This window comes from Homo sapiens, chromosome 6 (assembly GCF_000001405.40).
Source record: "Homo sapiens chromosome 6, GRCh38.p14 Primary Assembly".
NCBI classification, from domain to species: Eukaryota; Metazoa; Chordata; class Mammalia; order Primates; family Hominidae; genus Homo; species Homo sapiens.
This window is the reverse complement of record NC_000006.12, coordinates 43,195,245-43,207,558: the sequence shown is the minus strand read 5'-3', so window position 1 is coordinate 43,207,558 and position 12,314 is coordinate 43,195,245. Positions and strand designations below refer to the sequence as shown.

At 50.9% G+C, this 12,314-nt stretch overlaps 1 protein-coding gene across 20 annotated transcripts in view, besides 1 other annotated feature; it reads right to left on the bottom strand.

Moving 5' to 3' along the window:
- The window catches only part of CUL9 (cullin 9), a 42,392-nt gene that overhangs the window by 17,029 nt on the left and 13,049 nt on the right, over positions 1-12,314 (bottom strand). For 11 of the 20 annotated variants that reach the window (XM_017010589.2, XM_011514423.3, XM_047418478.1 and 8 more), the window contains 16 exons: positions 11,294-11,490; positions 10,697-10,914; positions 8,704-8,950; positions 8,188-8,293; positions 7,403-7,630; positions 7,033-7,123; positions 6,725-6,896; positions 4,738-4,843; positions 4,355-4,450; positions 3,967-4,142; positions 3,572-3,705; positions 3,020-3,199; positions 2,702-2,811; positions 2,136-2,626; positions 1,324-1,552; positions 1,049-1,238 (listed from right to left, as the gene is read on the bottom strand). In XM_017010589.2, the coding sequence (XP_016866078.1) occupies positions 1,049-1,238; positions 1,324-1,552; positions 2,136-2,626; positions 2,702-2,811; positions 3,020-3,199; positions 3,572-3,705; positions 3,967-4,142; positions 4,355-4,450; positions 4,738-4,843; positions 6,725-6,896; positions 7,033-7,123; positions 7,403-7,630; positions 8,188-8,293; positions 8,704-8,950; positions 10,697-10,914; positions 11,294-11,490 (2,971 nt within the window). The other 9 variants (XM_047418475.1, NM_015089.4, XM_047418479.1 and 6 more) reach the window with 6 other exon arrangements.
- Positions 6,362-6,562: a silencer, noted in NCBI's record as "peak5812 fragment used in MPRA reporter construct". NCBI's record gives its function as "represses an SCP1 promoter by STARR-seq MPRAs in K562 erythroleukemia cells {active_cell/tissue: K562}" and the evidence as "EXISTENCE:reporter gene assay evidence [ECO:0000049][PMID:32103011]".

The following is a 12,314-nucleotide window of genomic DNA, read 5'->3' as shown; positions in this document are numbered from 1 at the left end:
AACTTACAGAACATCCCAAATGCCCATAAACAGCAGAAAGGGTAAATACATCCATACAATGGAATATGACTCAGCAAAATAAATGAATAAACTAATGATACCCTTGACAACCTGAATAACCCTCACAGACAGTATGTTTCGTGAAAGACATCAGACACAGCAGAATACTGTATGATTCCATTTATATGATGTTCAAATACAGGCACAAATCTATGGTGATAAAGGTTAAAAATAATGATTTCTCCTGGAAGAAGACATTGACTGGAAAGGGGGCATGAAGGAGACAGCCTTCTACGATGCTGGAAATGTTCTGTATCTTGATGGGGGTATGAGGGAGGTAGATACATGGGTGTATATGAATATAATAATTCATGAAGCCTTATAATTAAGACGTGTGCACTTTACTGAATACTAGTTATATCCCAATCTAAAAAATCTTTTTGGCCGGGCACAGTGGCTCACTGAGGCGGGTGGATCACCTGAGGTCAGGAGTTTGAGACCAGCCTGGTTAACATGGTGAAACCCCGTCACTACTAAAAATACACAATTAGCCGGGTGTGGTGGCATACGCCTGTAGTCCCAGCTACTTGGGAGGCTGAGACAGGAGAATCGCTTGAACCCGGGAGGTAGAGGCTGCAGTGAGCAGAGATTACACCACTGCACTCTGGTCTGGGTGACAGAGTGAGACTCCATGTCAAAAAAATAAAGAAAAAAAATCTTTTAAAACTTTATAGGATGCCACTAAAGCAGTATTGAGAGGGAAATGAATAGTCTTAAACACTTTTATTTGGAAAAAAGTCTGAAAAGACTAAAAATCAAATAAGCACCTCACTTGAAGTTAGAAAAAGAAAACAGAACAAATTCATAGAAAGTTGAAGAAACTGATGAGAGCAGAAATTAATGAAACTACAACCCATGCTTTCTCATCCCTCGCTAGGAGCTGATATTTTTCTTCACATCTATATCCTGTCCAAAGGTCCTCTCCTCTTCCTCTCTTGCCACCCCGAATCTCACCCCGATCTCCAATTTCCTCTCCCTAGTTCCTCACTCTGGCTGTAGAAACTGGAGAAACGGTCAAGGGCATCACAGAATTCTGTGGGAAGGCACTTTCTGGGATGGTACAGGTAGCAGAGTGGGGAGACGGGCCAGCAGCGTGGTGACAGGACCAGTATAGAAATGGCTGGACTTGGATCTTCGATAAATAATTCTTTCTCAGCTTCCTCTTCCTCCTCTTCCTCCTGAGGGACAGAAGGATTTCAAGGGCCCTTGGGCTCCCTTCCTTGGTCTAGTCTTCTCTCACTCTCCTATTCTCCCTGCTCTTACCTCCTCTTCCTCTAGTCTCTTTTCCTCCTCATCTTCCTGCTCCAAGAACAACTTGTCGAGCCGCTGGAGCTGGAAGAGGTGGAACTGGCGCTGCAGCTCCTCAGAGGTGCTCAGGCTCTGCAGCATCAGCTGTGGGAGGCGGTTGGGAAAACAGAGGCCAATCTGCTCTAGCACAGCCCCCTCCAGCCAGCTCGAACCAAAGCTCAGGAGACGGTCCGCCATATAATGCCTGCAGCACACACAGCCCGGGCCAAGCCTCAGTGTGGGTGCCAGCGTGGCCCAGCCTCCCCCTCGAGAATGTAGGTCCCTCTGTCCCTCTGCCTGAGTCACATACCCTACCTCACCTCTTCTTTCCCACTCCCTTTCCACCAATGCATGACCACCTCCACTTTTTTTTTTTTTTTTTGAGACGGAGTCTTGCTCTTGTCACCCAGGCTGAAGTGCAATGACGTGGTCTTGGCTCACTGCAACCTCTGCCTCCCGGGTTCAAGAGATTCACCTGCCTCACCCTCCCGAATAGCTGGGATTACAGGTGCCTGCCACCACGCCACCACACCTGGCTAATTTTTGTATTTTTAGTAGAGAAAGGGTTTCACCATGTTGGTCAGGCTGGTCTTGAACTCCTGACCTCAGGTGATCTGCCTGCCAGAATGCTGGGATTACATGCGTGAGCCACCGCGCCTGGCCAGCCATCTCCACATCTTAATCTCTCCTCTACACAGCCTCTTTTCTCATCTCCCCTATAAGACTCAAATCTTTCCACTCTCTAGATCTAGGCCTCCCATCCCCTATGCCTCCAGACCTGCACTCACTGATAGAAGTGCTCAAAAGTTGTGGCCAGTTCCAGACCAGAAAGGACCATAATGGGTTCCAGGTGCCGCTGAAGCTGCCCCAGCATTTCCACTCCAGGGGCTCCACCAATCAGGCCACCCTGGATCTGTTGGTCAATGTACCTGGCAAACTGCTCACTCATCTGGGGGCAGGGGAAAGGGCATGAGCAAACCATGAATGAGGGAGTGGAGTAGGAGACTGGGGAGCGAAAGGAGGTGAAAGGGCAGAGCAGAAAGAGATGAACTTGGAACACAAGCTTATAGCCCTGTGGGGAGCTGGTGGGACTCACGTGAGCAGCAGTGAGGAAGGACTGCTGCAGCAAGGCGCCAGAGAAGCCACTGCGCAGAGCCAGCATGAAGGCTGCCCGAGGCCCAAACAGCTCGGAGCCTGCTCTCTGCAAGTGCTCATAGAGTTTACAGTAACGAGGCACAAAGTCTGGGGCCCTCCAAGCTGCAGCCAGGAATCTGCTGACCTGAGGAGAAAGGCAAGAAATGACATAAAAGGAGCAGCCCCTCCCCTCTGCAGACTTCTGCTTGCTTCTGCCCACCTGCTCCTGCACCACGCTCAGCCAGCACTGGGTTATGTTCCTCAGGCTGCTGCTTGGAAGCACTGGCGAAGGCGCCGGGCTCCGGTCCCGACCCTTGCTGTTCTTGCTGACTGTAGAGACAGAGGGAGAAGGAAGGGGTTTCATCTCAGCCTCTGGGTGAGTACACCGGTCTTGGGTAGTGATCTCCTGGAAAGGCCAGTAGGTCTCAGGGGCCTGGAAAGGCCGGTAGCAAAGCAGCAAGAGTAAGACCCAGGGAGGAGGGAGCCAGATACACCACTGTCCGCAGAGTCAGCTCCACTGGCCACAGCTGGGACTTACAGGGCCGAGTGGATGGCTCAGGAGAAGGCCCAGGAGGAGGTTCCACATGCACCAGCAAGTGGCAAAGGCGACGAACTCGAGAAGCAAAGGACGCTGCTCGACTCAAGGGGTTCCGAGAGGTCTCTCTCTGTTCTAAGTACTGATCCAGCAGCCATCCCAGGGCACTCACGCCTTCCGCATCTGAAAGAAGACAGGTCAGGAACAGGTCTCCATGGGAGATGGGAGAACAGACAGCTCAGGGCAGAGGAGGGAGAAAGATCAATTGTACAAAAAGGCTTGAGGGGTAGTGGGGCCCTAGTCCTCCCCTCACCAAGGTTTGTTTCAGCTGGAGTCAGGGGAAATGTTAACAGGGTGGGGATGGGGTAGTGGGAAAGATTCAAATACCAGAGTCTCAGGGAGCAGTGCCTGGGGCAGGAAGGAGAGAGGAACACTGAGGTGACAGGCCTTCAGGGATAAAGACAGGAACCAAAAGAACCAAGAGCATTAACTCAGGTGATCCCTGGGAATAAGGACAAGGAACTGGTTAGTGGGGCCAGGTGTCAGCATGGTTACCGGGAGAGGTGATGTTCTGCACCAGGGGGCTGACCAGGGCCTCCCAGCAGGTCTTGCCCAGTGCCTGGGCGGCCTCATCATCAGGGAGGAAGCGGTCAGCAAAATTCTGCTCGTGGCGCAAAACCCTGTTCAGTCTGGGAACAAACAGTGCATGGCGGAGGATTAATGGCACCGATTTCCCAGAGGCCTCCATTCAAGTGCAGATCAGCTCCCAATCACCCCTGTTCGGTCCCTGACCCAACTTTTCCCAATTAACACAAACTTCTCACCTACGTTCACCTTCCCCCTCATGTCCTGGCTGCAGCTTTCCCTTCCGGACTCCCACAGGAGCATCCCTCCTACTTCTCACAGTGTCCTGTTCCCTTACCCATCTTCCCTCCTCAGGCCCCACCCACCTGGGACAGAGCTGGAGGAGGCGCCGGTGGTCCTCTGCTATGTCCCGGCTCCAGGCTTGTGCCCGAATTGTGTAGAAGAGACATGTTCGGCGACACAGCTGCTCCCGGAACAGTGGCCAGAATGTGGGCTTAGGGCCCAGGACCTCCACACCCCGAACCCGGGTGTCAATGCCGCCCTGGAACATGCACAGACTTATCTGTCACCCAAGCCGCTTGAGCCACTAAGTACTACCAAAGCCAAGCCTCCTGCCCTGAGCTCCCTAGAACTGCTCAGGACATCCCCACATCTCTGGGACTCAACAGGTCCTGGGCCATCTCCCAAGCAGATCAAGGAGAAACTTGTGTGCCACCTCCTCCTCCTCAGCCCTGGCTGACACCCTAACACCACCTGCTGGCAGCGCTTTATGCGGATCTGGATGATGGGCCAGAAGCGGTTCAGGTTCTCCAAGAGGATCACCCGGCTGGCAGAGGGCATCACATTCACCTGGTAGGGCAGGGGAGAAGAGGGAGAGAACTGTCACCTCCAGAAACAAGGTTGGAAAAATTGTTGACAGTAACCAAGTCGGTCATGGTGTGTGCCCTTCACTTCTCCCGCAGAGCCTAGGGATGGACGTGGCTCTGCATCCCTAATCCCACTCTCACTGCTTACAAGGCAACACCTTCCCAAGGGGAAGGGATGTCACCATTCCCCAGGGACTAGGTCCTTCCCACAGGCACTGGGACAAAAAGAAGGATGTGGAGCAAGGTGAAGGTGGGCACAAGGGTCCCCACCGTGTTGAGCTCAGTGCCGATGCAGCTGGTGCTGTCACCCCCAAACACCACCACCCTGGCTGGCATGTAGCTTGAGTCCTCACTGGCCACCAGCAAAGTGAGCTGCCTGGGAAAGAAGAAAGGAAACAGTCAAAGCTGGGCCTCTGGACGTGGTGGCTCACATCTGTAATCCCAACACTTTGGGAGGCTGAGGTGGGAGGATCGCTTGAGGCTAGTTTAAGATCAACCTGGGCAACACTGCAAGACCCCACCTCTACGAAATAAAAATCAAAAGAAGGAAATAAAAAGGCCAGAGCCCTGGTTTCAGTTCAAAACTATTTCAAGCCACCACTTCTTTCTCAGGCTCCTGTTCCTCTGCTGGCTCCTGAGGCAGCTGTCCCCACTAGACCCTCTGCTCTTCCCTCTATATTCACCCAAAGTGACTTAATTTAAACCCACAGTTTCAACTGAAAATTAATACACAGAGGACTCCAAATACACATCTCTATCCCAGACCACTCTCCTGAGCTTTCATGCTGTGTCCCCAACAGGTATTTCCATGTCATGTCCCACAGGCACCTCAGAGTCATCATGCCCAAATGAAATGATCATCTGTCCACATAAACCTGTCCCGCTTCCTGTTTCTCTCCTGGGAAATAAAACTTCCGTGCACTCAGTACTCAACTAGAATACTGTCACTGAGGCCTTCACCTTCTCATGGCTTCCCTCACCCAAAGGCAAGTCTTGTGGACTCCATCTCTGAGGATTTCCCAGTCAGTTCCCACTCCTGCTGTCTAACTGAACACATGGATCCTTTCTCTACTAGAGCACTGCATACACCTTCCACCTCCTTCTTCTACCTCCAGCGCAAACTCCCATAGTTGCCAGAGTGAGCTTTCTCAATAAAAAATCTAGTTTTCTCTCCTCCCTTCTTAAAATCTTCCAATGGCTCTCCCAACTTTTGGAATAAAGTTCAAACTGCTTAGCTCACAAAACATTTTGTGATCTGCCTTTGCCTACTTTTCTGGCCTGTATCTTCCGCCACTTAGACATACACAGCTTTCGGCCGGGCGCAGTGGTTCACGCCTGTAATCCCAGCACTTTGGGAGGCCAAGGCGGGCGGATCACGAGGTCAGGAGATCGAGACCATCCTGACTAACACGGTGAAACCCCGTCTCTACTAAAAATACAAAAAATTAGCCAGGCGTGGTGGCAGGCGCCTGTAGTCCCAGCTACTCGGGAGGCTGAGACAGGAGAATGGGGTGAACCCGGGAGGCAGAAGTTGCAGTGAGCTGAGATCACACCACTGTACTCCAGCCTGGGCGGCAGAGCGAGACTCCATCTCAAAAAATATAAAAAAATAAAAATAAAGATATACACAGCTTTCAATTGTAACCAAATATGATGACTTAAAGTCCCTCCAAATATACTTTCTTACTTCCATTTTGCACATATGCTGTCCTTATGCCTAGAATATTGCCCCCTCTTTATCTACCTAATTTCAATGTCAAAACCCAGCTCAGTCACCCCCTCCTTCCAGAAGGAAGTCTGCTCTCATGCCTGTCAGTCTCAGGTCCACATGTGGACCACAATGCTTTTTCTTACTCTGTGCTCTTACTTGATTTTCTAGTGTAGCTCCCCAGCTGGAATGTAGGTACCATATCTTATTGTCCTTCTATTTCGAGACCCTTGCACAGTGCCTGACACAAATGCCTGGCATTAAGCAAATGCCCAAAGGAGAAATGGATAAGTGAGCTGTTTATCTCCCTCAACACTAAGCACAGGGCAGTGCCATCTGTACCTGTTGGAGTACAGATCACCAGACTCTGGGAGTGAGGGGATGTCTATACTCAGCAAAGGCAGGTCAATGTGTCTATGTGTTCACTGCACAAAATAGGTTTGAGTGTGTCCCTCAGGCATTGGGGTTATAGCTGGGGTTGTGTGTATCTGGGTGCTTTGGGGAAGTATCCTGGGGCACAGCAGAACATTCATATATGTGTGTTCACACCTAACAAGAACACCACGGTGCATGTGCAGGGTGATGTAGTGGGAGCCGGTGCTGCCGTTGGACTCCCAGTAGGTCTTGGGGTTGTGGTCCGTCAGCTTGCTGGCTCGGTGCGGGTTGGAGGACACCTCCACCTTCTCCCAGCACTTGTCCTCCTTCACTTCCACACTGGAGCCTGGGGGCAAGTGGGAAGGGGTGGCAGTCACAGCTAGGTTAGTTGAGAGGAAAAAGGAAAAGGTCTAAGGAGCAGGAAGGGAAGGGGAGAACAGACACTGGATGGGAGCCAGGAGAAAGCAGATGAGGGCACTAACCCTGGCAGAGATGCCTGAGGAACACATCAAAGAAGGGGATATTGATGGGTTGGTGGGTTCGTCTGTGGTCTTCGATCTGGCCCAGCACCATCTGCAGCCGGAACATCAGGGAGAATGAGGAAGAGGAGAGGGAGGAACACAGAGAAATGCCCAGAAACAGGTAGAGAGAAAAAGTCAAGGGTCAACGGTATACTCAACTCCTCTCTCCCCACATTTTGACAGAACCATGTGGAGTCAAGGTTAGGAAACAAGTGCCCCAGATTTGCTACAACCTGTGCCAAACAGGGATACCAAAGAGGAACACAGTGAATCCCCTTCTCCTGCTTCTGACTTGCATTCTCTCAGCTGCATACCCACAGCCGCTCCTCACCTGAATGCAGCCGGCCAGGATGCTGGAGGTGAGGTTGCTATAGAGCTGTGCGTACTTCTCACACTCTGTCACCAGGTCCCGAAGCTCACAGCCCAGCAGCAGCTGAGCTGAGTGCTTGTCCAGGACTTTGGAGAGGATCTCTTTTGCTCCCAGGCAGCAGAGCACCACAGCATAGTCCTTATGCATCGAGGCCAGGCGATGTAGGAAGCAGGTCAGCTCCTGAACAATCTGAGCCCAGAGCCACATAGATTAATTTACAGGAAACAAGAGGTAGGACATGTAAGGATTGAGGAGAGGGTTCAGTAAAGGAAGTGTCGTGGCTGAGATTGTGGAGACATGCCAACGCCCAGGGAAACAAGAGTACCAAATTCAGGGTGGAGTAAAATAGAGGAGTGCTGGGACTCCAGAGTGAGTTGGCAGAACAGAGCTTGGGCACAGCTTTCCAGGCTGCTTCCTGCCCAGGCCAAGCTATGTTAACCCTGGTGCCTGAGCCTTGCTCTCCAATGCACAAACCCGGAAGGGAGGACAGCTGTCTGGATTGGTGAATGTGGGCTTCTCCTTAGTCCAGAATCTAAACTCCAAATCTAAAATCATCTAAAAGGTTTATACTTCAAAGATTCCAGTTCTGGAGATTCTTAGATTACATTACCCTTCCTCCTCCTACACCCATCCCAGTGCCCCAAGATCCATTCAGAAAGGCTCTGCTGTGCCCTCCAGAGCCTCACAAGGAGTTGGTGCCCCAGATGCTGCCCTTCCCTCTCTTCTCCTTGCCAGGGTTCTGGTACCTCGGAGTCACTGCTAGGGCCACTCAGGCAGTTGAGGCAGGGCTCCAAGACCTCGTGCCAGGGGAGGACCATTGCCTCAGGGAAATCCAGCAGTCGGGTTATGACCCTGGTGAGGGGGTAGAAACGAGTGAAGTCAGGCCAGGCACAGTGGCTCATGCCTGTAATCCCAGCACTTTGGGAGGCCGAAGTGGGCGGATCACCTGAGGTCGGGAGTTCGAGACCAGCCTGACCAAAATGGAGAAACCCCATCTCTACTAAAAATACAAAATTAGCTGGGCATGGTGGCACATGCCTGCAATCCCAGCTACTCGGGAGGCTGAGGCAGGAGAACCACTTGAACCTGGGAGGTAGAGGTTGCAGTGAGCTGAGATCGTGCCATTGCACTCCAGCCTGGGCAACAAGAGTGAAACTCCAACTCAAAAAAAAAAAAAAGAAAACAGAAAAGAAACAAGTGAAGTCCCTGAAGTCTGCCAGTTTCCCTCGTCCCAATGCATGGTGCCTCAACAGGCCCCTCACCTCAGCACAGACAGCAGCAGAGTCTTGTTGGGCCCCGGAGCATCCAGAGTCCGCAGCAACAGGAGGAAAGGCTGGGTCTCCTGCTGGAGGCGCTTGAGGAGGGGCCTCACGGCACCTCCGGGGCTGCCCTCACGGCACAGCACACGCTCCAAGTCCAGGAGTAGTTCTGCAGATGGGCCCCCAACCAGGGATCGAATCAGTAGCTCAGGGGACCCATCCTGACCCTGGATGATGGGGGTCTCTAGTGCTGCAGCCAGACACACCAGAGGGAAAAATGTGGATGAAGAGTCTTACCAGTTTGTCAAACTGAGAACTGGGAAGGTCCAGAAAATCACCCCAAAATTTTCCTTCTATATTGAGGATGTCTATAGTTTTTAACCAAACTATGAGGGGTTTTCTTTCCTGACCCCAAATACAAACCTAATCAGATTTGAAAAAAAAACCTAGTATAGCAAACACTGTCGAGTTAAACACAAGACATTTTAAATCTCTTATAGTCCTATTATTAAATGTTAGTTATAGTAAATATTAACTATGATGATTATATCCCTGTACTACCTGCATGGTGGCTTTAGGTACACAGACTAAAAGATACATACATATTTCCTATTTTGTAGGAATACACAGAGCGCTGTCACCCAGGCTGGAGTGCAGTGGCATGATCTTGGCTCACTGTGACCTCCAACTCCTGGGCTCAAGTGATTCTCCTGCCTCAGCCTCCCAAGTAGCTGGGATTACAAGCACCTACCACCGTGCCCGGCTAATTTTTGTATTTTTAGTAAAGATGCGGTTTCACCATGTTGGCCGGGCTGGTCTCAAACTGCTGACCTCAAGTGATCTGCCTGCCTCAGCCTCCCAAAGTGCTGGGATTAAAGGCATGAGCTATTGCACCTGGCCACGTATTTCCTATTTCAATATCCCTCCACACTTCTAGGTTTTCACTTGTTTTTCAATCACAAAGGGTTTCTTCCCCAGTATCAATATCTAATGTTTCCAGGCACAAGTGTTCTGTACCATAAATTATAATTTCTCTTAAGAAGGCCTCCCTATTCTGTGAAGAGAAAGTTAAGCTTAGGCCAGGCACAGTGGCTCACGCCTCTAATCCCAGCACTTTGGGAGGCCAAGGCGGTCAGATCACGAGGTCAGGAGTTCAAAACCGGCCTGACCAACATGGTGAAACCCTGTCTCTACTAAATATACAAAAATTAGCTGGGTGTGGTGGTGCGCACCTGTAATCCCAGCTACTCAGGAGGCTGAGGCAGGAGAATTCCTTGAACCCGGGAGGCGGAGCTTGCAGTGAGCAGAGATCGTGCAACTGCATTCCAGCCTGGGCGACAGAGTGAGACTCCACCTCCAAAAAAAAACCAGTTAAGCTTAAAACAAAAAAAGAGAAAGGCTTCCCTAGATGTCATTTCAATGAGTCTTCTACTGTCCAATAATACTGGGCCAAACCTAGCCCAGATGGATATGAATCCACATATGTTTAAAGCCATTCAAGAAGGCAATTTCCAGCCAGGTGCAGTGGCTCACACCTGCAATCCCAGCACTTTGGGAGGCCGAGGCAGTGGATCTCCTGAGGTCAGGAGTTCCAGATCAGCCTGGCCAACATGGTGAAACCCTGTCTCTACTAAAAATACAAAAATTAGCCCGCTGTGGTGGCAGGTGCCTATAATCCCAGCTACACAGGAGGCTGAGGCATGAGAATTGCTTGAACCCAGGAAGCAGAGGTTACAGTGAGTCGAGATCGTGCCACTGCACTCTAGCCTGGGAAACAAGAGCAAAACTCCATCTCAAAAAAAAAAAAATGCAATTTCCTTGCACATATTCCACAGTCTCCCTCTTCTTGGTCGGGAAGTTCTACTTAAGACCTAACTTGAGCACAATGCTTGCTCATTTCCTGAAGTTTCCTTGTATCTTTCCAGTAAGGAGCTGATATGTAAACCTGGCTGGCACTGTGTGATTCCTCTGCAAAACCACCCCTCCACAATGGTACCTGCACGCTCAGGGCTGCCCGGCGGCTCTGAGTAGCGATTGAGAAGCATCATGAGGATGGTGCGTGTGGTAGGCATAGGTTCTGTTCTTGGTGCTATCCCTGAGTGCCTAAACAACGTGTCTCTCAGCTCTTGGGTTATAATCTGGTCTCCCAGAGTGTGGTGGTTGCACAAAAGTAGGTTGAGCAGGAGTAAGCCATTTCTCGCTGCAGAAGAGCACCTGGGAGGAGGGAGGTGACCAGGAAGAAACTGAGAGACCATGAATGCAATGGAAGCAGCAAAGCAAGCATAGAAGGCCGGGCAGCTAGGGAGCAAAGGGCTCCAGTGGGCCCTCTGAGCCAGGACATCTGATCCCCTGACCTTGGGCCACTCCTCCCAAACCCATAAAGGGAAGTCAGTGTGTCTCTGCCCTCTCTGGGAATCTCCCTATCCCCAATCCACTTGGGTTCTCCTCCAACAACAGTTGGCAGCGCCACCAATGCTTAATCCGGAGGTGACAGCGTGAGGGGAATTTCTGTGGAGTACATGAGCCTGGAGCACAGGAGTAGCAGGGTTTGGGACTAAGCAGGAGCCTGGAGTTGGGAAGGTAATGCCCTGACCCCTCAGTATTCAGCATCAGGATCACGGCTGCAGGGACAGTGAGGAGCAGGCTCTCAGAGCCCGGGCGTGTGGCTGAGTCGATGCTGGCGAAGATCTCTCTGGTCATCTGAGCATCAAACAAAGAGTGGATAGAATCTCGGCCAGTAACAAAAGTGGGGATCTCCGAGGAGCTGGCGACGGCCAGCATCTTCAGTGCCTGTGAGGGGGATGTGAAAGCAGAGTGAGGAGGGGGCAGAGTCACCATGAGGAAAGGTAGGCCTCATTCTAGACCTCAAACTTTGGGGCAGCTGAGCTGTTTGCAGATAGGTAGAGTAGGAGACAGAAATGGAAGAGGTAGTGATGGGACATCAAATACTACAAAGAGAGGGAAGGAGGGAGGGAGGAAGGAAAAGAAAAAAGGAAAGAAACTAAACAACAACAAAAAACTCTGAGACTGGATGGTAAAATCAGCCTTCCACTCCTCTTGGCCTCCAGGCTCGCAGCACCAAGGCTACCAGAGTGGGACAGCCGCCCCTCCTGTATCTTCCCTTCAGGATGGTGCCCCTCGCAGCATCTAGTTGTCTTCAGGGGCTTCTTACAGTTGTCTCCCATCTCACTTGCACTCCTTCCTTTGCAAAATCTCTCTTCCCTTGAGTTCCATGACTTCACATCCTCCTGGCTTTTCTCCTACCTCTCTGGTGTTCCTTTGCCCCAAGGAACTAAGGTTCCTTGTCCCCTTTCTCTGGACTCTGCACTCACCCACACTGAGGCAACCAGGTCCATTCACATTGCTTCAATTACCACCTATACACCAAGTCTCCAAAACCTGTGTCTCCTGGCCTTAGCCAGCATCCAGCCCTTCTAGATAAGACTTCTTGGTTGTCTCACAGGCAGTGGTTGGCATTATAGGAAAAATAATTGTAATGTGCAAACCTGTTTGCTGGGACTATAGAGAAAAATTAAATTAAAATAGACACTATACAATCAGAGTGGAGAATGTCTCTCCTGGTAAAAGGGTTGATTCTCTACAAGAAACCCATG